General features: G+C 43.8%; 3 annotated features.

The window, feature by feature from the left end:
• Positions 1,566-1,615: a silencer, noted in NCBI's record as "silent region_1924". NCBI's record gives its function as "represses an Ori minimal core promoter by ATAC-STARR-seq in GM12878 lymphoblastoid cells {active_cell/tissue: GM12878}" and the evidence as "EXISTENCE:reporter gene assay evidence [ECO:0000049][PMID:35858748]".
• Positions 19,275-20,089: an enhancer, noted in NCBI's record as "OCT4-NANOG-H3K4me1 hESC enhancer chr1:228984653-228985467 (GRCh37/hg19 assembly coordinates)". NCBI's record gives its function as "activates a minimal SCP1, AML or CMV promoter by ChIP-STARR-seq in naive H9 embryonic stem cells {active_cell/tissue: H9 hESC(naive)}" and the evidence as "EXISTENCE:reporter gene assay evidence [ECO:0000049][PMID:30033119]".
• Positions 26,137-26,337: a silencer, noted in NCBI's record as "peak749 fragment used in MPRA reporter construct". NCBI's record gives its function as "represses an SCP1 promoter by STARR-seq MPRAs in K562 erythroleukemia cells {active_cell/tissue: K562}" and the evidence as "EXISTENCE:reporter gene assay evidence [ECO:0000049][PMID:32103011]".

The raw sequence follows: 27,039 nt of genomic DNA on the forward strand, positions 1-27,039 counted from the left end.
CAGAGTGTGCAGAGATCACATGGCCAGACAGGAAGAAAGACAGAGGGGAGGAAGGTGCCAGGCTATTTCCAACAACCAGCTGTCGCAGAAACTAATGAGAACTCACTCGCCTTGAAGGGAGGGCATTAATCTATTCCCGAGGGATCCGCCCCCATGACCCAAACACCTCCCATTAGGCCCCACCTCCAACATTGGGGATCAAATTTCAACATGAGATTTGGAGGGGACAAATACCCAAACCATAGCAATGGGATAGATAAATTTCCTTGACATTGATCCCCTTCTAAACTCCAAACTGTGCTTTAAAAACAGTATTTTTAGTTTTAAGGGATGTTGATAAATCAAGGCATCCAGAAGAGGTAAACAAAATGGTCACAGAAAGTGAAGCCAGGCTGGAGAAAAGAAGACTCTGGAGAAAATCAAACCCTACAAGGAGCCCTCATGCAGTGCACAGAATAAATTCACTATTTGGTAGCTTCAGAAGGTGGAATAAGGGTGGGATGAAAGACATTTCAGGGAGTCCAAAGTGAAACGCTTCAGTTAGCGTTGGAGAAGAGAGAACTGGAGTTGGAGGGAGGCAAGGTGCTGAAGTGAGTTGCCAACACCAATTCCTCTGGACTGTGTCCCTGAGGTGATGATGCAGGGCCTGTGGGAAGTGGGCCAGGGGCCTGTCATTCTGGTTCTGTGGGTCTTGACCAACCAGCCCCTAGAGTGCTGGGGCTCAGAACACCTCACCTGGCTGTTTGTGCCTTGCCCAGTAGGTTGCAGGCGGGCAGCCTGCTGGGCTCTTTGCCGAGTTGAGTGGTTTGTCTCCATCTGGCTGCTGTGAAATCACATGGGCCTGTTGGCTGCGATTGTTTGCGGGCTGCCTCCCTGGATGGTGGGGTTCTGTGCTCTGGCTCCTGGGCTCTGACTGCTTTCCAGGGAGCACTGTTTCGCATGGGGTACTCAGGAAACTTCCCAATCAGATGGAAAGAATAAACACAGACTTCAGCTGACTAGCTCTGCACTTTCTTCGGGGTTCTGAGAAACCAAAGGCAAACACACGTGGTGTGCAGTGGTGTGCCCTGTAGGGGAAGCCTGTGAGTGGCGCGCACAGCGCAGGTTCCCTCTGCGGGGTGCAGGAGCAGAGGACTGGTGCTGGTGGGCCTTTCTCTGCGTGTCCAGAACTGTCGGCTTGTGCACGCTAGGCCTGGCAATATGTGTGTGCATGAGTGTGGGCATGCATCTGTGTGTGTGCACATCAACACACAGGTTGTGCTTTTAGTATGACATTCTGTGTTTTCATCTAAGTGCTTGAGGGCCCCTGACTTGCCATGGTTTTCCAAATAAAGAAACTTAAATAAACACAGTGGGGCCCCAGAGGCTGGGATGGGACCATGCTTCTGTAGAATTTCCATGTGCCCTGAGCTATGCTGTTACTCTAATTACTCCTCATTTTAATTCCATTTTGAGGCTTATCAGCCCTATGCTCTTCTACTTTGGGACTGGGCCAAGGAGGCAGGGGGTAAACTGAGTCCAGGCGATCCCGGAGCCTCCAGGGCCAGCCCTGGGAGCTCGCAGGCCTTTGCTGGGGCAGCAGGAACTCTGCTTTGCCTATGACATCCTGTGCTTTGGTCTGGGAGATTTCTGTATGAGTCATTTTCAGCTCAGAACACCCTAGCTGTGGTTAATTACCTGAGGTTTTACTGGACTCCTTCTCCAAGCGTTCATTGTTGTCCGGGCCGCCTCATCATGCCCCCACACGTGTCCTCCTCTGGGGAGGTTTGGAAAAGAGCCTTTAGCCCAAGTTACTGTGACCTTTGGTACCTGTAGGACACATTTTTATCCCTCTTCCTGATTCTAATCTTACTGAGCCACCAAAACCTTTTTGTTTGTTTTAATAAACTTCTAATTTTAGAATAGTTTTAGATTTACAGAAAAGTTACAAAGTCTCCATGTACCTCCTTACAGTTAACCCTATTAACATCCTTCATCAGTAGAGTACTAATGAGCCCAGATTGATACATTATTATTAACTAAAGTCTATTTTCAGATTCCCTTAGTTTTTACCTCGGGTCCTTACCATGTTCCAGTCTTCATCTAGAATACCTCGCTATGTGGAGTTGTCGCATCTCCTGGGCTCCTTTAGCTATAACTGTGACCAGAAAGATCCCTCTCATCCTCCTTGTCTCCCTCTACCTTTCTTTTATGATTGTGGTAAAAAAAAAAAAAAAAAAAACACATAAAATCAAGATCCATTTTTAAGGTCTGTTGCTGAAATGGCCAAAATGGCCCCAAAAAAAATATTGCCAGTTGCTGTGAGGTTTCATGAGCAACTGAGGGTATTTGAACCCTTCTTTCTAGAGCAAGAACTCTGACCGCCATCGCTTTTGTGTACCCAGCGTTATTTAGAACTGAAATCTGCCCCAGAGCCGGAGGAAAGGAGGCACAAACCATCTCAGCCGTGCAATGTTCCTCTGTTGAAAATGTCTCTCCATTTTTTTGTGCTAATCCAAATGTGTATTTCATTTAACGTTCAATTTGATCAACCTGTTAGAGAGGGACTGTGGCACCCAGAATTCTTCCTTCTAGTCTTGATTCCTACAAAAGTGTACAAGAATAGTTTGTACTGCACCATCTTGTGCAGCTCAGTGGCTTGAATCAGGTTGGCTTTTCAATCAAATTGTAAGGTCCTAGACACCAAGGACCTGCTTTCTAATTTCTTTTATACTCTTTGCAATAGTTTTTTGTTTTATAGATAGGGCAGATAGGGAGCAAAGATAGAGTGACTTGGCTGCCCAGAAGATGTACTGAAGTCAAACACGAGGATGATGAGTAACACGCACCTGCAGTTCACCAGGCCTGAAGCTGGGGGAAGCGAAGAGGTACTGGGGTTCCCGGGCAAAATTTAAGGGGGCACCAAAGAACTTAGTAATCGAGATAAATAATATCTTAATTCAATATGTTTTAAAAATAAAATTATTTTTGTACAAATAATTTAACAAATCCATGATGAGCCAGACATGGTAGCTCTTGCCTGTATTCCCAGAACTTTGGGAGATGGAGGTGGGAAGATCACTTGAGCCTAAGAGTTTGAGACTAGCCTGGGCAACATGGAGAAACCCCATCTCCACAAAAAATACAAAAACTAGCCAGGCGTGGTGGCATGTGCCTGTAGTCCCAGCTACTTGGGGGGCTGAGGTGGGAGGATCACTTGAGCCAGGGAGGTTAAGGCTGCAGTAAACGCTGATGACACCTATGTACTCCAGCCTGGGTGAGAGAGCAGCAAGACCCTGTTTAAAAAAAAATAATCCATGATGAACACAGCACCAAAATTTCAAATAAAGACTGCATGTTTTTGTATGTTTTGTAACTCTGTGTTGTTATATAATGGACGGTCATTTCCAATCAGTTCGAGGTCTCACACCCGTGAAGGCACATCTTCCCTCACCAGGTGATGTACAAAGATTAACAATAGCATGCAAACAGATGGGGTGGTTCTGAGCTTTAGATAGAGCTATGTCCTTTGATTGTAGGGCTTTCATTAACTTTTTATCCTTGGTTCAAAATCTGCAAGGATCTTCTGATAGGGGTAAATAGGGATGCATGTCTTTCCTTTTCCTTGGCTCCTCTGTGATTTTCATGGCAATGCAATCTACAAAGAGCTCCAACATATACCATTTCATTTAATCCCCCAGGAAAAACAAAATCCTATGAGTAGATAGTGTCATTTTCACTTTAGAGAAAAAGAAACCGGACCTCAGATTAAGTTACTAACCCAACAATACTGAGCTGGCCCATAGTGGAGCTGGGATTCCATGAACGTTACCTGACCTAGATCCTCGACTTGGGCCGCCTGTGCAGATTGCCTTTGTAGACACAACCAGGTGCTCTGCCTCTCTCTGCTCAGCTCTGTGCGCTCATGCCCATCTCTGCCATTTCCCCTACCAAGGGTATGTGTGTACTTATGTAAACATATGTGTAAACAGAAGTGTGTGTGCTGTGTGATCTTGTGTGTACATGTGTGTCTGTATGCATGTATTCAGAGTATGAAAAGATGTAAAATATGAGAACACAGGTGCCTGTGGCATCAGAGTGTGTGTTTGCTTGCATGAGTGTATATGTACGTGTGTTTTTGCATACGTGTGTGTACAACGGTGTGCCTATGTGAGCCCATGTGTAACACACGTTTGTGTGAGCATGTGCATACACATGTATGTGTTTGAGTACAAGAAGACATGATGCAGAGACACAAACAGCCCAAAGGAGGGCTGAGGCTGCTGCAGCCTGACAGAGTTTACATCTGACTGCCTTCAGCTCCTGTACGGTGCTGTCCCACTCTCCATCGCGTTTGGAGAGCCGGCATCAGTTCTGGGAGCTCACGGAGGATTTTACTCCCTCCTCCTTCACTGGGAGGAGCCACGGCCACTGCCCTCCCTGCCTCCCTTCTCAGGTTCGGGGAGAAGGCTCAGAATCTTGGCACATGACATAGAATTTGCTAACCCCAAGGCTGTAAGAACAAAACTAACGTGTCATTTGGGGAAACCTCAGTTTGCCCTCTCCAAAGAGAAAGCCTGAAAGACCCCTGCAAATGTTCAGCCTGGCTCTGGGCTGTTGTCCATACAGTAATGGGATTTTTCTTGGGATACATCAGGAATTGTTCCATGTAAGGTAAAACTTTCTCTGAAATGCCCTCTCCTCCCCAAACCCCAGCCCAACATAATAACCTGATGAGTCCTTAAACGGAGGACCACACACTGGCAGCTTTCAGCAATTTTCCTGGCTAAATATTGTTCTAGCCAGTGTTAGTTTTGACAGGATTAGTCATGGATCCTAATATAAGAGTCCCAGGATCCCTGTTGGTTGGAAAGCCTGTTAAAATATTGTTTTATTTCCCTGCAGCTCGTAAGCTCATGGAGCCCTGCGAGGCATTTTCACATATAGTGCTTCTTGGCCAATGTGTTTCAGAACATAGCAGCTGACGGGGTGAGAGGCAGCTGCCTTTCCTGAGTGAATCTTTGCCAGAGAGTGTTTGAAGAAATATCTTTAGGTAGACAAAAGGCTGCCACATAACGTGAGCAGGCTCAGGGGACACTCCTTGGGTCAGAAGTTGGTGCTGCGGGCTTGGTCAAGGTGTGGCAGCCACTCAGCCCTGACCGTGCTGTCTGTGCCTATGGAGTCTTTGATAGACTGGAGCTGGGCAGACCAGAAGGTAAGCACAGCCACAGTGAAGGAAAGCTGTGAGAAGCCAGCTGGTGGGAGCTTCTGGGAGTATGGTCATGTACTTTAAGACAGTGCCATGAAATATGGGCCACGTGGTTATTCTGAAGGCTTGATCCACGCTTCAAACATGACAGTTGACTCTTCCTTCAGCCAGTAGCTATTGTCTCTGTTTCATTTCGCTTTTACCGTATTATCTTAGTTCATTCTGCTTTGCTATAAAGGAATACCTGAAGCTGGGAAATTTATACAGAAGAGAGGTTTCTTTGGCTCATGGTTCTGCAGGCTGTACAAGCATGGCACCAGCATCTGCTCAGCTTCTGGTGAGGTGTCAGGAAGCTTCCCATCATGGTGGAAGGCAAGGGAATGTCACATAGTGAGAGAAGGAGCAAGAAAGAGAGGGAGGAGGTGTCAGGATCTTCTAAACAACTAGATCTTGCGAGAGCCCATACAGTGATAACTCATTAAGTACTATGAGGATAGCACCAAGACAGTAATGAGGGGTCTACTTCCATGACCTAAACACCTCCCACTAGGCCCACCTTTAACATTAGAGGTCACATTTCGCATGAGATTTGGAGAGGACAAAACATCCAAACCATATCACTTGTTATGAAGACTGTAGGGTGGAGTTGGTAGGTGGTTGGACAGCGTGCGGGATCTATGACCATTTTGGGTAATATCCCAGGTTATGGTCTCCAGGTTTTACTGAATTTGCTGGAAAAAATTATGCCTTTCATAAACTAATATTAGTGAATACCTACCTCACGCTCTGTTTTTTTCTTTTAAGAGATGGGGTCTTACTATGTTGCCCAGGCTGAAGTATAGTGGCTGCTCAGAGGCATGATCATCTCACACTACAGCCTTGAACTCCTGGGCTCAAGCGATCCCCCACCTCAGCCTCCCAAGTAGCTGGGACTATAGGCTCCTGCCACCAAGCCCGGGTCCTCTCTATTTTCTTGTAGCATGTTATGTGTCTATTTCTAACATGTTAAGCTGATTAAAAAGACCACAAAACAATGAGGCCAAAATTCTGTAAGTTTTGTGTCATTAATATTTTTTCTAAATAAAACCCACTCAAGTCTTGTTATTTTCTGAGTTTTCATTTCCAGCCTCTCTTATCCTCTAAGCCTTTCCTCATGTCATCTCAAAAATCTCTTCTTCCAATGCTACTCTGACTGTATCATTGCTTGGTTGCTGATTGCCTATCATAATTAGCCAGATTTGTCAGCATGAATGAATGCTCATGTCAGTGTCAGAACAGGCAATACACATTTGTTAAAGGGACAGATGTGTGAATGGGCGCTGATGTTCTGCATGGGTAAGTCCTTCCGCGTGGCTCACCCCTGTTTCTTTCCCACACTGCTGCAACAAGCCTGCCTACAGTTTCCTACCCTGGGATGCCTGCACTAGCATGCACACTGGAGGGCAAGCCTTTACTGACTGGAATGTCTGCACCTGACTATCTGTGCTAGTGGGATCAATGATGGATTCACCACCCGGCTAAGCTTTCCCTGAGTTACCTGGTTGACGATGTTCACTAATCCCATAGCCCCCAGGGCTTGAGAGTATCGTTCACAGCAGAGGAGTTTGCATTTCTTTATGTATGTAGTAACATATTATCTTTTATATGCACTTTACCTGCTTCTTCCTTAGAAGGTAGACTCCTCAGGGCCAGAAATACAGTCCTCTGTTTCTTTTATCCCTCCTCACAGCCTCTGCCAGTGCTCTGCAGCTCAAAGGTCCCTGATAAGCAGAGTGACTTCAGCATTGTAATGAACCAGAGCACAGAGAGAGGCTGTGCAAGCAAAGGGTAGGAGCAGCCCTAGAAGAAGGCACACATTCATTCCTCGGGTTGCAGCCTGTTTACAGAGGGAGAGAATCTCTGCTGCAGTTACCCAGCATCCAGGGGTCCATGCTCTGCCAGCGTCACTCAGCCACGTGAGATGGGGTGATTGGACCAAAGGAGATACATGGTGTTTTATTTAGTGATGGTGGGGCCATTTCTGTTTTTATTTGTTTTTAACTGGGGTATGTGTGTCAGGACCACACAGCAGCAGGGAGAAGCTTCCACCTGCTTGGAACAAAAATGGGAAGGCTGCATTTCCAGGCTGCATTTATCTTATGTGTAGTGTAAGCAGCATCGCTGACTGGGAAAGAAAAAAGGGTAAAGAGCATTATAGATGCCTGATAATTCAGTCCTTAAGAGATGGCTCACTCAATTGCTTGGTTTTGTATTTTCATTTCTTTTCCTGACTGAAAATGGATCTGGAGCCTGAGAGCACCTGATGTTGGGCGAGGCCTCTGGGTACGAGGTGGAAGTTCACATTTCTGGATTATGTGTAGTTTCAGAATGCCTTCTATCTCGGTGTCAGGATAGATGTTAAGATGCAGGAATTCTCATAAATCTTCTCGTTAAAAAGAAGAAAACAACAAAACTTCTCACAGAACATAAAAACCATGTCAGGTGGCCGGGCGTGGTGGCTCATGCCTGTAAACTCAGCACTTTGGAAGTCCAAGGTGGGTGGATCACGAGGTCAGGTATTTGAGACCAGCCTGGGCAACATGTGAAATCCCGTCCCTACTAAAAATACAAAAATTAGCGGGGAGTTGTGGCACACTCCTGTAATCCCAGCTACTCAGGAGGCTGAGGCAGGAGAATCGCTTGAACCCAGGAGGCAGAGGTTGCAGTGAGCCAAGATCATGCCATTGCACTCCAGTCTGGGCGACAGAGCAAGACTGTCTCAAAAAAAACCCCAAAAAAACAAAAAAAACCCATGTCAGGTTGCTCCCCTGAGCAAGGCCAAGCTCAGTTTTCACCTGGTGGTCCCATGGGGAGCTTCCTGTGGCTTAGTGTTTGCGTCTGCCATTTGCTATCCCTCCCCAGCACACCTTCCTGTGGATGGAACTTGCCAGAACTTCCTCAGCAACCCTGAAGAGGAAAGCTGGAGGCCCCAACAGACGCAGAAGTGGGCTGCACTGCTGTGCTTCCATGGGGCAGTCAGGGCTCAGGGCCCCAGCAGCAGGCCAAACCCCAGCCCAGCTCCCTTGCAAACCTCCTCTGTCATGTACCCTGGGAGTCAGGTCCAACCCCACTATGTCACAACTGAGGAAACAGAGGCCCCGAGAAGTTCAGGGAGAGCTGGGGTCAAGATGCTAGATCCTGCCTCTGGGTGTGGTGGCTTTTGTTCTTGTCATCCGGTGGGCACTGGGCCTGCCCCGCACAGCTCCTTCACCCCGGAGAGGTGACAGCAGACTACATTAGGCCCTGCCAGGCCCAAAGACTCCAGCCTGTTAATCTTTAACCAGAGCTCTGGACAAAGGTAGCCCTTCTGACCTCCTGAGAGTTTCTGAATAGCTCGGAGGCTTCTGTGACAGAGCCACACGTTAGCAATGACATATATTTAGTGCAGGGAGGCATGTTGAGTACAGTTCTAAATTCTGTTGTGAATTGTGCCCAGGGAACAAGCACAGAGAACATTTTCACCATGGATATGTATGTACTTGTAAGAAGCAGCTGGGTGGTTCCTTCAGCAATCTGCTGAGCTGTGGCGATTACATCACACACTGGTGCAAAGGCCTTGAACCATTAATGTGCTGCCTCTGCGAGGGTGACCAGGATTCCAGCAATGAACAGAGAAGGTGCTTGTCCCCACTGCTCACTGGGTGCCTTCAGATTCTTAACTTTTGTCTTTTTCTTTTTTCTTTCACTTCTTACCTGTATCTATAAAACAGGACTCTGTTTGCTTTGAAAAGAGCCAGAATGACCTCAGGGGTCAGTGACTCATGCTGTTGGCTCTGTGAACACAATCGAGTGCCCCTTACGTAAGAAGCTCCTGCTATCTGAGGGAAGGGAGGTCCGAGCCATTATTCCTTGGTTATAAACACTCCATGTGGTTTTGTTTGGTGGTTTTAAAAAAGGTGTGTCCACAGGGTTGGTGTTCTAGAATCGTGGGCAGAAAGAAGTCTAGCTCCTTTCATCCAAGGTTCTAAAGGGTTCTCTGAGCTGTAACTCAGCTCTAACTGGACAAAGAGGCAACAATTCCCCTCATTTCCTGTGCGCTGTCACCACAGGAGGCTACACTTAAGGAGGTCAACTCAAGTTGTTTGGACCAAGCTTCCGCAGTTGTTCCCATTATCCTGTTTGAATCCATTCACTCTTACACTGGCCATGCAAATAGACACTCCCCAAGGAAAGAAGGACCTTAGAAAATAAGTGATCTCAGTTTTCATCTGACTTTCTTCTGGGGTGTGGGGCTGGTCATGGGTCTATATTCCCTGCTGTGGTCAGGGCCCTGTGGGACATGTGGCTGTGTCCCAGCCCTCTAGCACAATCTGCCGTCACTCCTGGGCTTTTGTATGCCTGCTCCCATTTGCTCTTATCTCCTCAACAACCACGTCAGGTAGATAATACATACCATCAGTCCCAGTTTACAGATGAAAAAAGTGAGGCACAGGGAGCTTCAGTAACTTGATCAAGACTAGAATTCAGAGAAATAGCCAAACCATGACTCATGATCCTCTTGCTCCAAAGTGCGTTGTCTCCCCCACAGCCCACTATATTTGTTGTTTATTTTTGAAAATGGTCATGAACTCAGCTAAGACGCTGGGGCAGTGGAGCGGAGGGAGAGAGCCTGCTCTTCACAGAGGGCTTATGGGGTGAGAGGAAGGGAAGCTAAGTACAGGGCAGGCCGGGGCCATCTAAGGTGGCCTCTGACCATCCTGGAGAGGCATGGGGCTAGAGAATGAAGAATGAGGCAGAAATGAGCGTTTTTGAACTGGTTTACCGAGCAAGAACTAGAATGGAAGGGGACATATTACAAATGACAAATGCCTGATCCAAAGCCCATGAGATGCTATTGATGAGGGCCACGGACCCTTACTCTGTGCAGACACAGAGGCTTGGATGCACACACTTGCATACACACACACACACACACACGCACTGTTTTGTTTTGCTCTGCTTTATTTTTGCCACTGTGGAATAATAAGAAGTACAGTCACGCATTGCTTAATGATGGGGATGCAGTCTGAGAAATGCATCAGGTGATTTCATTGTTGTTTGAACGTCATAGAGAGTACTTACACAAACCTAGACGGTATAACCTACTACATACCTATACTATATGGGATAACCTATTGCTCCTGTACCAAATACTGTAGGCAATCGTAACACAGTGGTATTTGTGAATCTAAACATATCTAAACACAGAAAAGGTACCATAAAAATGTGGTTAGAAAAGATGAAAAATGGGGCTGGGCGTGGTGGCTCACGCCTGTAATCCCAGCACTTGGGAGGCCAAGGTGGGCGGATCACTTGTGGTCAGCAGTTTGAGACCAGCCTGGCCAACATGGTGCAACCCCATCTCTACTAAAAGTAGAAAAATTAGCTGGGTGTGGTGGTGTGTGTCTGTAATCCCAGCTAGTCGGGAGGCTGAGGCAGGAGAATCATTTGAACCTGGGAGGTGGAGGTTGCAGTGAGCCGAGATTGTGCCACTGCACCACTGCACTCCAGCCTGGGCCACAGAGCGAGACTCTGTCTGAAAAAAAAAAAAATTAAAAAAAAGATGAAAAAAGGTACACGGTCTAGGGTAGTTACCGTGAATGGAGCCTGTGGGACTGGAAGTTGCCCTGAGTGAGCCAGTGAGTGAGCGGTGAATGAATGGAAAGGCCTGGGATGTTACATTACTGTACACTAAATTTATTTTAGCTACACTAAATTTATTAAAAAATAAAGTAATTGCACTATGACATTATGACAACCATGGCATGCATCGCTAAGGGATAGGTATTTTTCAGATTCATTGTAATCTTTTGAGATCACCATCATATGTATGGCCCATCCTTGGCTAAAATGCCATTATTTAGCATATGACTGTACACATATTGGTCTCTGCCCTCAGTTCCTGACACAGAGCTCTTAAAATCCTTGGAGTTTCTTGAGAGATAGGAGTGCTAGTAGCATCTTTTGTTCTAATCGGGCAACTCTGGCTGGGCTCCTAGATAGCCTCGGGATGGGAGTTGGTGGCCAGGGGAACCAACCATGTGATTATAAAGTTGGAACTTTCACCCCCACCCCTAACCTCAGGGGAGGGAAGAGGGGCTGAAGGTTGAGCTGAACATCAATGGCCAATGATTTAATCAATCATGCCTACATAATGAAGCCTCTATAAAACCCCAAAGTACAGGGTTCAGGGAACTTCCAGGCAGCTGAACTCATGGAGGTTTCTAGAGACTCGCACACAAGGAGAGGACATGAAGGTCTGAGCGCCTTCCACATGCCTCGCCCTGTGCCTCTCTTCATCTGTATCCTACATAATATCCTTTATAATACACCAGTAAACACAGCTACGTGACTCTCTGAGTTCTGTGAGCTGCTCTAGCAAATTAATTAAACCCAAGGACAGGGTCTTAGGAACCCAGATTTATAACCAGTCAGAAACCACAAGTAAAATAACCTGGGGCTTGTGATTGGCATCAGAAGTGGTGGAGGTCTTGTGGGACTGAGCCCTCAACCCGTGGGATCAGATGCTATCTTCAGGCAGGTAGTGACAGAAATGAATTGAATTCAAGGACGTCCAGCTAGTGTCTACTGGAAAATCTGTAGAATTGCTTGCTTGCGTGGTGGGGGGACATACCCATACATTGGTGACAGAGGTCACAGAAGTACCCTGTGTTATGAGAGAATAGTAGGAGAAACTGAGTTTATTTTTTCTTTCTCTCACAGAAACTGAAAGGCATTTATCCTCACATTAGAGTATAGCATGCTGAATTGTCTGTCTATAGCTGCAATTCCACCCAAGACTTATGCTAACTTTTAAGATTTTTGTCTCATATCAAAACTGAGAAGACTCTCAAAAGAAACATCACTCAAGCAAAAAACTTTTAAAGCTTTTCAAAATAATCGCAACTCATCCTGCACTTCATAATTCTATCACCATTAGAGTGAATTAATTGTGTGATTATATGTTTGCCTTCCATAGACTGTGAGCTTCATAAAAGTTGGAACCAAGCCTGTCATTCATTTATTCAATAGAGACCTACCGAGTGCCTACATGTGTCAGATACCATTTCACTTGTAGGGCCGCAAGAGTGAATGAAACACGAGATTCCACAGCAGATGGTCTCAATTTCTTTGTGTCACTGACCCCCTGGAATCCCAGCCTACAGTAGGCACTCAATGAATACTTATTGGATAAGAGATGAACACATTTCCAGCTTATTCTTCCCACCCCAAATCTTTCCTTAATAAGAGGTCTGGGTTTTCACACAGCCCTGCTGGAAAGCCCCCTTTGGCCAAACACTGTAGTCTCTGCAGACAGCTCTCAGCCTGTGGCCTGTGGTTAGGCCCACTCTGTCTGATACTCTAAGCACTGGCTGAAGACAGTGACAGAGAAAGGAGAAACAATGCCCCATTCCAGCAGGAGGAGGGAGGAAGGATGAGCAAAGAGGGCTGACCCATTTTTCTTGGCTAACCGTGAAGCTCCCAACTGTGTCCTGGGGCTCTGGCAGGGACCCTGGCGACAGCCCTGACCCCTGCTCTGTGCTGCATTATTCAGCAAGACTGTGACGTTATCACTGTGAGGTGGGTGAGTCATCAACAAAGCTGCTATCCAGAATCTCATGAGCTCAGCCTGAGGGGCTGATGCCAGCCTGTTCACCGACTCTGGAAGACAAAAGGCTATGTTCCCTGCTGGGCTCCCCTTCCCTGCTCCTGGGACCCTGGGCAGGTCCCTCTCTATAGGGGTGATGGTAAAGGAACCTGAGCTTTAATAAGGGAGAAATGTGTGTCCAGTATGGGAGCTGCCGCTGTCTGAACAAATATGGAATCATAATCAAGTCCAATCTTGGTTTTTAAATTTGGAAATGGGTATAATAAGATTTATCCCAAGACGTTGTTGAAAGGTTATTTGTACTGCATCTGGCACTTCATACATGATTGGTGTTATTTCCCAGGCATCTCAATTGAGATCCTACACAGTTTCATGCTCATGATAACTGCAAATCATAAATCATAATCTTATTCCTATCTCTTCCTGTACATCATGGCTGGGGGACAGAGGAATAACCCACTCCAAACCCCTATATGCTTCCTCTTTGGGGAGAGGAAGGCACAGTGTGTCCTATTTGGTCCTGTAGGTGTTGGGTTAGCTCCACTGCAAACCCCACATTTGAACACAGCCAGCCTGTCTGCAGCCTGGCAGAGTTTCCTGTCTTCCTCACTGCCTATGCCACTTCTCACCCTTTCTACTCCTACTCTTTCTCCATGTTCCTCACTCTTATCTGAACTCCATGAATTTCCTTTCCTGCCTTTAGAAATTTCTCCTACTTGGCTGGGCGCGGTGGCTCACGCCTGTAATCCCAGCACTTTGGGAGGCCGAGATGGGCAGATCACAAGGTCAGAAGATCGAGACCATCCTGGCTAATATGGTGAAACCCCGTCTCTACTAAAAATACAAAAAAATTAGCCAGGTGTGGTGGCAGGCACCTGTAGTCCCAGCTACTCGGGAGGCTGAGGCAGGAGAATGGGGTGAACCCAGGAGGCGGAGCTTGCAGTGAGCCGAGATCGCGCCACTGCACTCCAGCCTGGGCAACTGAGTGAGACTCCATCTCAAAAAAAAAAAAAAAGAAAAGAAATTTCTCCTACTCTGTGCATATTCCTCTTGGGCACCTGACTTCTTCCTTCTTGACTTAGAGGAAGAGATGCTCCTCTGTAAAATCTCACATGAACCTTGCTGCCCTTCCAGGTCCCCTCGTTTTCTGCTAAGAGACTTGTACTGACCATAGTGCTTCCTAAGGTGTAGGCCACAGCCACTGTATCAAGGACCATCTGGGTTTCTTGTTAGCAGGCAGATTCCCAGGTTTTGTTCTCATTTGCTCAAATAGAATGGGGGTCTGGGATTCTGGGTTACATTTGAAAAATTCTCTTTTTTAAAAAAGTGCAGTGGCTCACGCTTGTAATCCCAGCACTTTTGGAGGAGGACATGGTGATGTATGCCTGTAGTCCCAGCTGCTCAGAAGGCTAAGGTGGGAGAATTGCTTAAGCCCAGGAAGTCAAGGCTGCAGTGAGCCATGTTCACACGACTGCACTCCAGCTAGGGTGACAGAGTGAGACTCTGTCTAAAATAAAATATGTATGTGTGTGTATATATATATATGTGTGTGTGTGTGTGTGTGTGTATGTATTCTTAAAATAAATTTTTACGGAGTCTCGCTCTGTCGCCCAGGCTGCAGTGCAGTGGCACAATCTCGGCTCACTGCAAGCTCCGCCTCCCAGGTTCACGCCATTCTCCTGCCTCAGCCTCCTGAGTAGCTGGGACTACAGGCGCCCACCACCACTCCTGGCTAATTTTTTTTTTTGTAGTTTTAGTAGAGACAGGGTTTCACCATGTTAGCCAGGATGGTCTCGATCTCCTGACCTCATGATCCACCCATCTTGGCCTCCCTAAGTGCTGGGATTACAGGCATGAGCCACTGCGCCCGGCCTTTAATATACTCTTAAAATAAAATTTTAAATTACGTAAGTGGCACAGCACTGCAACCAAAGCCTGTACACATTGTCACAAATCTCTCACCACCAGTCTCTATCCACTTCTCCCCAGGTATCCGAAGTCAACAGACATATTTATCTGTCCACATCCTTGTGATTCCTCAGACAAGTCTACATTCACACAGAGAGTAAAAATCATATTGTGGATTTTTACAGAATTGGGATATGTTGTATTAATTACTCTGTCAGTTGCCTTTCTTTTCTACCAATACATCAGGGACATCCCTCCAGGACAATAGATATGGAGCTACTTCATTCTCTTTAATAGTCGTATAATATTTTGTAGTATAGAAGGACACAGTTGATCAAACCATCCCTCCAGTTATGAGTATTGAGGCTGTTTCTAATTTGCATCTGCTTTGTTATTTGTTATCATAAACAATGCTGTTTGTGTATATACTTTATGGGCTTTTATTTCTGTAGAATAGAGTCATAAAAACAGGATAGTTCTGTAAAAGGATATATGTCATTTTAAAACAGATATTGTTGCATTACTTTCCCAAATTGGAACAATTTCTATTTCCCCTAGCAATACACACCATTGCCTATTTCTTGCCTTTATGAAAACATTCAGCATTTTATTCTTTTCTTTCTTTTTTTAAGGTTTGTCAATCACATGCAAAGAAGATATTTTCACTTGTTGCTTTATTTTATATTTTCCTCATTCTCAGTGAAGGCATGTATTCCTATGTTTACTAAACTTTTGGATTTATTCTGTGAAAAGCCTATTCTATCTTTTTACTATTTTCTTACTGAGCTTATCTTTCTCTTGTGAATTTGTAGAAGTTCTTTGAATATTATGCATATGAATCCTTTTCCTATTATGAGTGCCGAAGATATTTTCTTTCTTTTTATTTATTTATTTTTTTTGAGGCAGAGTCTAACTCTGTCATCCAGGCTGAAGTGCAGTGGTGCAATCTCGGATCACTGCAACCTCCGCCTCTCACGTTCAAACAATTCTCATGCCTCAGCCTCCCGAGTAGCTGGGATTACAGGTGTGCACCACCACGCCTGACTAACTTTTATATATTTTTTTTTAATAGAGACGACGTTTTCCCATGTTGGCCAGGCTGGTCTCAAACTCCCTACCTCAGGTGATCCACCCAACTCAGCCTCCCCAAATGCTGGGATTACAGGTGTAAGCCACTGTGCCGGGCCCAGATCTTTTTCTATTATCTTAATTTACATATTTTTTAAAAAGTCATATAAAAACTTATTTGTATTTAGACAAATATGACTGGTCTTTTCTATCTGGCTTAGAAAGATCTTCCATACCATAAGATTTGACAGAAGTTCTTCTTAGTTAAAAACAAACATGTATTACTTGTAGTTTATTTCTAGTATTTAAGTCTTGAATCCTTTGGAATTTATTTCTGTGTATTATGTGAGGTGGAAGTTTAGCTACTTTTTTCTTCCTGATGAAGAGCTAATTATGCCAGCACCATTTATTATTAAAGCAATTCTTTTCTCTCTAAATCAAAATATCGCCTTGGTTGTTGATATCTCTTAAATCTATTTCTAGTTTCCAATATCTTTTGCCCGTGCATTGGACTATCCTTGTGCCTTTAGCAAACTTCCCTACATGATAGTAACTTTACAGTGATTTTATTATCGGACAAACAAGGAGACAATCTGCGCCTCTGCAGGCTGCTGTGGTGAGTCTCACTTATGGAAGGTGTGATTTGGGGCAAGGTGGATTAATTTCTGCACTGAGAGATGCAGTTTCTTTATCTGGAAAATTTAAGGCAAAAGCTCTGGCTCTCTCCCAGGGTGGCTGTAGGATGCCGTGAGCATCCCTTTCCTTCTCTGGTGAGTACCAGTACTCACCCTGCGCTTGGCCTGCCCCATTGTCAGGAGCTGCTTTCCCCAGGTGGGAAAAAGCAGTGAGCCATGTTCACACCACTGCACTCCAGCAAGGGCGAAATAGCGAGACCCTGTCTGAAATATGTATATAATTGGTATCTATATATAGAGATACATATATATCCTTAAATATATATAGATACCTATATATATTCTTAATATATATATAAATATATAATATATATTCTTAAAATAAATTATATATATATATATATATATTTTTTTTTAGATGGAGTCTCACTATGTTGCCCAGGCACAATCTCGGCTCACTGCAACATCTGCCTCCTGGATTCAAGCAGTTCTCCTGCTTCAGCCTCCTGAGTAGCTGGGGTTATAGGCATGGGCCACCATACCCTGCTAATTTTTGTATTTTGAGTAGAGATGGGGTTTTGCCACATTGGCCAGGTTGGTCTCGAACCCCTCACCTCAGGTGATCTGCCCTCCTTGGCCTCCCAAAGTGCTGGGATTACAGGCATGAGCCACCACGCCCGACCAAATTACATATATATATATTTATATTTATATATATTTATATACATTTATATATTTATATATAAATATTATATAATATTTTAATATTATAAAATATATTAATAATATATATTATATAATATATATTATTAATATTTATAATATATATTATATAATATATATTATTAATATTTATAATATATATTATATTATATATATTATATATTATATATTATATTATATATATTATATATTATATATTATATTATATAATATATAATATATATATTATATAATATATATTATATATATTATATTATATATATATATTCTTAAAATAAATTTTAAAATTACTCAAGTGGCACAGCACTGCAACCTAAGCCTGTGTACATTGTCACCAATCTTTCATCACCAGTCTCCATCCCCTCTCTCCAGGTATCCAAAGTCAACAGACTTCTATCTATCTATCCTTTTAAACAGGCCCCAGGAGAGGCCTACCTATTTCTGTGCAGGCTCCTTCTCAGCCCTTCCCTCCCCTCTTTGGGCCTCTTCTGCATCTTCAATGATCATCTCTAAGCTGATGACACCATGATCATCCCTGTTACCGGAAAAAGGTCCTGATCCAAACCCTAAGAGAGGGTTCCTGGACCTCACACAAGAAAGAATTCAGGTCAAGTTCACAGAGTAAAGTGAAAAGGAGCTTATTAAGAAAGCAAAGAAAAGAATGGCTACTCCATAGGCAGAGCAGCCCCAAGGGCTGCTGGTTGGCTATTTTTATGGTTATTTATTGATTATATGCTAAACAAGGAGTGGATTATTCATGAATTTTCTGGGAAAGGGGTGGGCAATTCCTGGAACTGAGGGTTCCTCCCCTTTTTAGAGGATGCAGGGTAACTTCTAGACATTGCCATGGCATTTGTAAACTGTTGTGGCAGTGGCAGGAGTGTCTTTTAGCATGCTACTACATTATAATTAGCATATAATGAGCAGTGAGGTCACTTTCACCACCATCTTGGTTTTGGTGGGTTTTGCCCAGCTTCTTTACTGCAGGCTGTTTGATCAGCAAGGTCTTTCTGGCCTGTATCTTGTCCCAACCTCCTACGTCATCCTGTGACTTAGAACTCCTAACCGCCTGGGAATGCAGCCCAGTAGGTCTCAGCTTCATTTTACCCATTCCCTATTCAAGATGGAGTTGCTTTGGTTCAAATGCCTGTCACATCCCCGACCCTGACTCCTCACATAAGTTCGTTCTTAACTTTTTTTTTTTCTCCCAGACAGCGCCTAGCTCTGTCACCCAGGCTGGTGTGCAGTGGTGCAATCATAGCTCACTGTAACCTCAACCTCCTGGGCTCAAGCAATCCTCTGGCCTCAGCCTCCCAAGTAGCTGGGACAATAGGCATGTACCACTATGCTCAGTTAATTGTTGTTTTGTTTTGTTTGTAGAGATAATGGTCTCACTTTGTTGCCCAGGCTGGTCTCGAACTCCTGGCTTCAAGTGATCCTCCCACTTCAGTCACCCAATTCTAACTTATTATTATTTTTTAACTATTATTTTAGTTTACAGAGTTTTTCCTTAGTTATTTATGTTCTTCCTTCTTCCAAATAGAATTTGAAGTGTCTCAGACTTGGCTTCCAGGCTGCCTGCTGAGTACCCCGACCAGAGCCTCTTGCAGTCCAAGTTCACTTCATGAAAAGCTCACACTTCCCAGACACTCACCTCTTCCAGTATTATTCACCAGCCTGGTACAAGCAGCCTGCTGGTCACTCAGAGTAGATGCCTCATGCCCCCCCCCCCCCAGCCAACTGGGCACAGTGTCCTGTTGAATCTCCATCCACAGCCTCTGTCTGTTAAGCATCTCTCTAAACCCACGGCTCTGCCTTCAGCTGGGGCCCTCAGCAACCTCCACCACATGACTGCAGCCAGCTTCTCACTGAGGACCCCGACTATGCCACACCTCTTTGCTGGCAACCTACAGCTGCTTCCACACCCTCTTGCCAGAAACCTACAGCTGCTTTCATGGCCAATCCCACCATACCACATCCCTGAGCAATAATATTCTAGAGGTCCCTACTGCCTATAAACACCACTCAAACTTCTTAGAACGGCATAGGAACCTCTCCAGTTTCTGGCTGCACAACCATTTTTTGGTTTGTTTTCTATTTGTGAGACTATTTTGCTCAAATGTGTTTACAAGTGATTTAAAAAAAAAAAGAGAAACGCCATTGAAGGAAGTTTATAAACATAATGGGAAAATGCAAAGGTGATAAACATGTTCCTCTCCAGGTAGGCACTGCAGCTAATGAGCACCACTCCAGGGGTGTGGAGGCCTGAGGTGGGAATCACAGTGATCTTGCTCAAGGCTGGTCTCAGCAAGGCCCTCCAGGAGAAGAGCTTGCCTGGAGCATAAGCTCTTCTCTTTCCTGCTACAAAGGTGCAGGTTCAAAGGGCTCTTTTGTTTGAACAATTAGGTGAGCAGGAAGGCAATTAACAGGCCACTCAAAGTAAGTGAAAGGCAAAGGAACTGAAGCTGCAGTCCTATTAAAGAATAACAGATAACAGGTGAAGATTAGCAGGGGCAAGTTCCTATTAATAACACCACCTATTAATAGCAGCAGTCTCTGACCGAGTGTATTGTCCCCAGGTTCTGTGCTAAACATGCAAAAAGCATTGTCTCATTTAATCATCACCACAGGCCAAGCAGGTGGGACATGCGCTCGGAATTGCTGTGGGTGTGAAATCACTCACCCTGCTCTCACACTGGAGCTTGGGGCTCAGCCATTCTAGTGCCAGTGTGTGTCCCATGATTTCAGACTGCCTTTCTGCAAAAGCTGAGAAGACAGCTTCAGTCCGTACGGTGATAAAGCGTATGTGGAGAAGAGAATCTTTTTTCTAATTTGCAAGGTTGCTCCCAGCATACAGAGCTGGGACTTTCCACTCTTATACAAATCAGCCCATCCTTCTCATCTGCTTTTCAAAATTGTACCTCCTGGGCTCTCCCAGGAATAAGAAACCAGCTTTTTATGGAGTCATGCAATTCTTCAAGACTTTTTCCTCAGCAATACAAAGACCAGGCAGCCAAAGCTTGGAAATGACCAAGTCACTGTTTGTATGAACTCAGTTACATTTTTAAATACTTTAATTGATGCATAGCGATTGTATATATTCATGGAGTACATAGTGAGGTTTCCATACCTATAATGTATAGTGATCAGATCAGGGTAATTAGCATATCCATAATCTCAAACATTTACTTCTTTGTTTTGGAAACATTCAATATCCTAGCTATTCGAGACTATAGAATATATTACTGTTAACTACAGTCACTCTACATTGGCATAGAACTCTAGAACTTATTCCTCTCATCTAGTTGTAATTTTGTATCTTTTAACAAATCTCTCCCTATCTCTCTCAGTTACATTTTTAAGGCAAACCCTTCATTCTGAGTATGTGTCTGAGAATGGCAGTAGAGTAGTTCTCTTTTCCTCTGTTATGTTTAGATTCTTGAGGTGTGCATTTACTTTAGAATGCATGACAACTCTTAGTCACTGCAAAGATAATAAGTTGTAGTCATGTAGCAGGACGAGCTGCAGACAAAACTCCTCAGACACTGGGTTAAAGAAGGAAGGAGCTTTATTTGGTCTGGAGCTTCGGCAGACTTGCATCTCAAAAGCCGAGCTGCCCGAGTGAGCAATTCCTGTCCAAGGGCTTACAACTCTAAGAGGGTCTGCATGAGAGGGCTGTGATCAATTGAGCAAGCAGGGGGTACGTGACTGGGGGCTGCATGCACCGGTAATTAGAATGGAACAGAACAGGACAGGGGTTTTCACAGTGCTTTTCTATACAATGCCTGGAATCTATAGATAACACAAGTAGTTAGGTCAGAGGTTGATTTTTAACTACCAGGGTGTGTGCCAGGCTATCTGTCTGTGGATTTCATTTCTGCCTTTTAGCTTTTACTTCTTCTTTCTTTGGAGAAACGCCCAGAAACTGGGCGTAAGACACTATGAGGAGTGGTCTCCTCCCTTAGTCATACCTACATTCTTACTTTAATAAAACTGCACTTTCATGGGAAAAGCATTTTTTTTCTGGTTTTCATATTAACTGGCTTGGGCTGAAGTTATGCTTAGGAAAGCTTGGACAGTCGGTTGTTGCAACCAGACCCAAGGAGGCCTTGTCTGCCTGGGCTGCATGAATGAGGAACTGGGGACAGGTATTGAGACTGGAGAGGTGGGAATCAGATATTCCAAAGCCTAACCTCCTTAGTGAAGCCTACAGATCGCCTGTTCCTACAGGCTTCATAGCCAGAATGCCTTTCTTGGCAGATCAATTGTCCTTCTTTGGAATCATTTTAAAAGCTCTCCGGCTACTTCATCCTCTCCAGTTATCACTGGATCTTTTAAAGGACTCTGAAATGCACACTGAGTAGCAGTCAGCCTCATTTCACTTACAAAAATGGGTTCCTGAGATTTTGCTGTTTATGGATATTTTGTAAATAGAATCCGTTTAAAGGCACTAGAGGAAATTTCTATTTAAATGAATCCTCCTGGGAATCCCTTTGCATTGAAAATGTGAATTGATCTGTTCCATAACATGGATCTGTCAGATTTTCTCAGGGTGGCCTTGCAGTGCGGCACCCCAGGGAAGAATTACAGTAGAGTAATGGAGCGACTCCAGGCTGGCGGCCTCTGCTTGTGTTCCCGCCATCTGTAGCAAAGGATGCCTCAACCTGGGCAGCAGGATTGGGATGTGAAACATAAAATGTGCTGTGACATCAAATATACAATTCTGACAGCCTCCTACTCATTTAAAAGATTTCTTGTTAGGTTTTTAAGTCCTTTGGGAGGATCCTTCTATCCTCTTACACAAGGAATGCTACTCTTGATGCAATTAATCTGAAAGAGGATTTAAAGACAATTTCTATGCCAGGGCTTCCGCTGTGTGAAGCCAACATTAGGTTCAAGTGTGCGATAACATTCGACATGGCTTACATGGTAAGTGTATGTTTCCAAGAGGGACTATTAAACTGAAGTGGATTAAAGACAGCTCAATTTTTTATAACCATTTCCTCACTTGAGTATTTTTATACTTCCCTGCCTTCACCAGAAGGAAGCCACAAATCTCCTCAACAGTTGTTAAGCCATTGTGAACAAATTCTCAAGCTGCATTTTTATATCATCCCCCTCCCCAGGTTCAAATCTGACAACTGGGGATGCTGCTGTGGACTCGGGTATTAGCCAGGGCTCAGTCACGTGTGAGTGAGAGATGAGCTCCTCCAGGAGGGGAAAGCGGGAGCAGGCCTTGCTGCTCCCCAAGCCCCACACCCCTAACCCCTATACCCCACACAGAACAACACACACAACAGGCGCATACATCCCAACACACACAGACACACACACCCCACCACACTCACACCCCCCAACACACACAGCAACACACACCCACCACACCACACACAGACATGCACACTCACAGGTACACACTCCCAACACACACACACTGATGAGACAGCCAGGTGGGAAGGGCTCCCTGGCAGGCCCTCTGACTGGCCTGTGCACTGGTAGGAGTGCACGCTGGGGTGGAGCATGGGGAAGTTCACGTCTTTGAGGGGGAGGAGCCTGGCCCCTCCTTTTCCTGGGTGGAAACTGGGATTCAATCTGCGGGGTGGGAAGCACACTAGCAGGGACTCTGGCTTTGCCCAGGGCCCCGTTTCCCTTTTGCCCAATACATTCCACTTTTTCTCACCCTTCAAAGTGTCTGCAAGCCTAATCTCTCATGGCCGTGTGACAAGAACCCAGCTCTTAGCTGAACTAAGGAAAAAGTCCTACAACACTGACACATACACCAACACAAACACACCCAGCACACAGACCAACACACACACACACACACACACACACACAGGCATCCCTGCCACACATACACTCACCCCGAAGCAAACGCACACACCCCACACATGCCTCCCATCACACACTCATACACACCCTCCCCAAGCACTGTCAGAAGGCCCACCCAGGATACCTGGAGCATTCCCTTGGCTGGGGGCCATGAGTTGAGATGGACTAAGTGCAAGTCCCCATCCTGAGAGTGCAAGCCAACCCTGAGAGGTCATTTGCAGAGTCAAGAATGACTCCAGTTGGGTTTCGTGGTGCATGTGTGTAATCTCAGCATTTCAAGAGGCTGAGGTGGGAGGACAGCTTGAGGCCAGGAGTTTGAGACCAGCCTGGTCAACATAGTGAGACCCTGTCTTTAACACTTTTTTTTTTTTTTTTTTTTTAGTTTTAATATTCTGGTGACCTGGAAGCTTAATTACTAAATATCTTTTTCTTTTGTCAATTGCATTGTCATTACAATGTGTCAAAATAATAAATTATATAGTTCAAACTTTGACAGATTTAAATAAAAGACAAAATTAAAATTTAATTCAAAATATTTTCCTTAAGGAAAGATTCAATCTTCTAAAAAATCATTAGTAAAGGTATTTATGAATGATCCTATGTTAGAATGAGACACATTTCAGCATTAGTTAGGTAAAGAGTACCAAACACCAGCCATACAAAGGGATGGAAACGAGTGAAAGGAGTTGCAAATTCCCTTCAATTCTTTCAACTCTCTCTGAGCTATATACAAAAACATTACATGATTACATAACAATTTAACAGCAAACATTATTTGTAATGCTCTATTAGCATACAGGATAAGATCCAATTGTGTAAAGGAAAAAAGAATCCCACCCTACCTCTCTCCCAGTCATTCCCTTAAATGATCTTTTAGGCATCTGGGAGGTTTATATTCCTGGGAAACAATGTATCAAGCGGGATGGTGGAAGCACAGCTCTGTGCAGGGTGGTAGCAAAAAAGAATCCCACCCTCTACAGGCACATCTCAGGCAGATCCATTTTAGGAAAAGTACTTCTGGAAATTGGGGATTTGGAAGTAGATTCCTTTAAAGTGCTTAGGTGCCTGTGTAGGCCTTGGGAAGTCTTCCATTTCCTCCAGGAGTCTGCACACTGCTGTTCAAAGATTGCTCTAGGAAGTTTTCCATTTGAGATAGGTAAGGATTAGTCAGAAAATACGATACAAACTACAAGGTTGTTAATGTAGACATTACTCCACCTTGACCTGATGTGCCACTTAAAGCCACACAAATAATAGTTATCTGTTTAGCACATACTGTACATGGCTTTGCAGATTCTATCTGTGTCTGTCTGTGTATGTGCAAATCTCATATTGACATAGTCTAATGCTGAGTTCAAACTGAATTCAGAACCTGAGTTTGTGATGAACTGATGGGGATCCTGAGCCAGTGAAATTTGCAGATTAAAACTAATGACCTCGTTAATATCCACAGGCCAAGGAGGCCTGAGGACAATATGTTCTTACTTACAAAAGCTGTATAAAAAGTTGTTATTTCCATGTTATAGATAGAAAACAGAAGCACAGAGAAGTCAGGTCATTTGCCCAAGATCACAAAGCAAGTGAGTAGTAGAATAGACATTTAAACAAATTGGACTTTTAATGTTATGGAAGGCAACCTTAGAAGACGGTCTCAGTGGGCAAGTCTGAGACTCACCACTGGGGGATTATTTTGCCCCGATTTCACTGCACCATCTGCTCGTGCAGGTATGCAAAGGAAGGTCACACACATCAGGGAGTTCTGAATTTCAATTTTATATCTGAGGAAAGATAGCGTTGCAAAGCAGCTGATTTAAGACCATCTGATGACAACCAAATCAAGAATAACTTAATAATTAGTCATTACAAAGTACTAACTGCTTACTCATTTTGGAAGTGATATAATGTAATGGCTAATGATAAGGAAACTGGAATCATTGCTTGGGTTCAAATCTCAAATCTACTGTTAATAAGCTCTGTGACCTTTGATGAGTTACTTAACTTTTCTGTTTTTCAGTTTTCTTATTTTGAAAATAGGCAAAATGATAGCATCCAGCTCATGAAATTATTACAGAAATTATATAAAATAGCACAGATAAAGTGTTTGGAAAAGCATGTGGCTAACACATAGAAAGCACTCAATAAATGCAAGTTACTGTTAGGAAAATATTAGAAGAAACTTTTAAAAATTATTTAGTTTTTAACAATTAGGGTAAAATATGTGTAATGTAAAATTTACCACATTAACCATTTTTAAGTCTGCAGTTCAGTGGCAGACTCCCTATTCCTAACATCACTCTGGCTCTTTTCCGTATCTATAAATTTGACTAAGTATCTCATATAAATGGAATTATACATCATTTGTCCTTTTGTGACTAGCTTATTTCATTTAGCATAATGTCTTCAAGGTTCATCCATGTTGTAGCACGTGTCAGAATTTCCTTCCTTTTTAAGGCTAAATAATAGTCCATCATATGGATATACCACATTTTGCTTATCCATTCATCTGTCAATGCACACTTGGGTTGCTTATAACTTCTGGTTATTGTGAAATAATGCTGCTATGAAAATGAATCTACAAATATCTTTTTATGTCCCTGCTTTGAATTCTTCTGGGTGTACATCCAAGATGTGAAATTGCTGGATTACATGGTAGTTCTATTTGTAATTCTCTGAGGAACTGTCGTAGTGTTTCCCATAATGACTATACTTCGTTACATTCCCAGCAGCAGTACACAAGGATTCCAATTTCTCCACACCCTAGCCAATACTTGTTATTTATTTTTAAATGTTTTAAAAATAACCACACATCCTAATAGATGCATGGTGATACGTTGCTATGGTTTTTGATTTGCGTTTCCCTAATGATTAGTGATGTTGAACAGCTTTTCCTGTGTTATTGTATTTCTTTTTGTTGTTTGAATGTGTTTAATTTCCACAAATGTGTGAATTTTCCGGTTTTTACTTCTGTTATTGATTTCTAACTTCATCTTGTTGTGATCAGAGAAGATTCTTTGTATGAAATATTTTTAAATCTACTGAGACTTAATTTATGACCTTGCATATGGTATATTGTGGACAATTTCCCATATGCACTTGAAAAAAAGGTATATGCTGTTGCTGGGTAGAGTGTCCTGTAGATCAGGGGTCCCCAACCCCTGGGCCGTGGAGCCGTGCCACAGCCTGTTAGGAACCAGGCTGCACAGTAGGAGGTGAGCAGAGGATGAGCGAACATTACTGCCTGAGCTCCACCTCCTGTTAGATCAGCGATGACGGCATGAGATTCTCATAGAAGCGCGAACTCTGTTGTGAACTGCACGTGTGAGGGACCTAGGTTGAGCGCTCCTCATGGGAATCTAACTAATGCCTGATGTTGATCTGAGGTGGAACAGTTTCATCCCAAAACCATCCCCCATCCCTGGTCTGTGGAAAAATTGTCTTGCATGAAATTGGTCCCTGGTGCCAAAAAGGCTGGGGACCACTGTTGTAGATGGCTGTTAGACCTGATTGGATTATTGTATTGTTCAAGACCTCTGTTTCCTTGCTTATCTTCTGTCTGGTTGTTCTATCCATTATTGAGGTGGGATATTAAAGTCCCCAACTATTATTATAGAACTGTCTATCTCTCCCTTCAGTCTGTCCATTTTTGCTTTATATGTTTTGAAAGTTTGTTATTAGGCACATAAATGTTGATAATTGTTATATACTCTTGCTGTATTGGAACTTTTATTAATATATAATGCCTGTATTGTCTTTTGTACCCTTTTGTGACATTAAGTTTGACTTAAGACTTTATTTGACTTAAATTCTAGTTTAGTTACCCTATTCTCTTTGGTCACTATTTGCATGGAATATCTTTAACCTTCGACCTATTTGTGTCTTTGGATCTAAAGTGGATCTCTTATAAACATCATATAGTTGGATCCTGTGTTTTCTATTTATTCTGCCAATTTCTGTCTTTTGATTGGAGAATTTAATCCTTTACATTTGAAGTAATTACTGAAAAGGAAGGACATACTTCTGTCATTTTGCTATTTGCTTCAGAGATTTTTGTTCTGCAT

Source organism: Homo sapiens, chromosome 1 (assembly GCF_000001405.40).
Source record: "Homo sapiens chromosome 1, GRCh38.p14 Primary Assembly".
NCBI classification, from domain to species: Eukaryota; Metazoa; Chordata; class Mammalia; order Primates; family Hominidae; genus Homo; species Homo sapiens.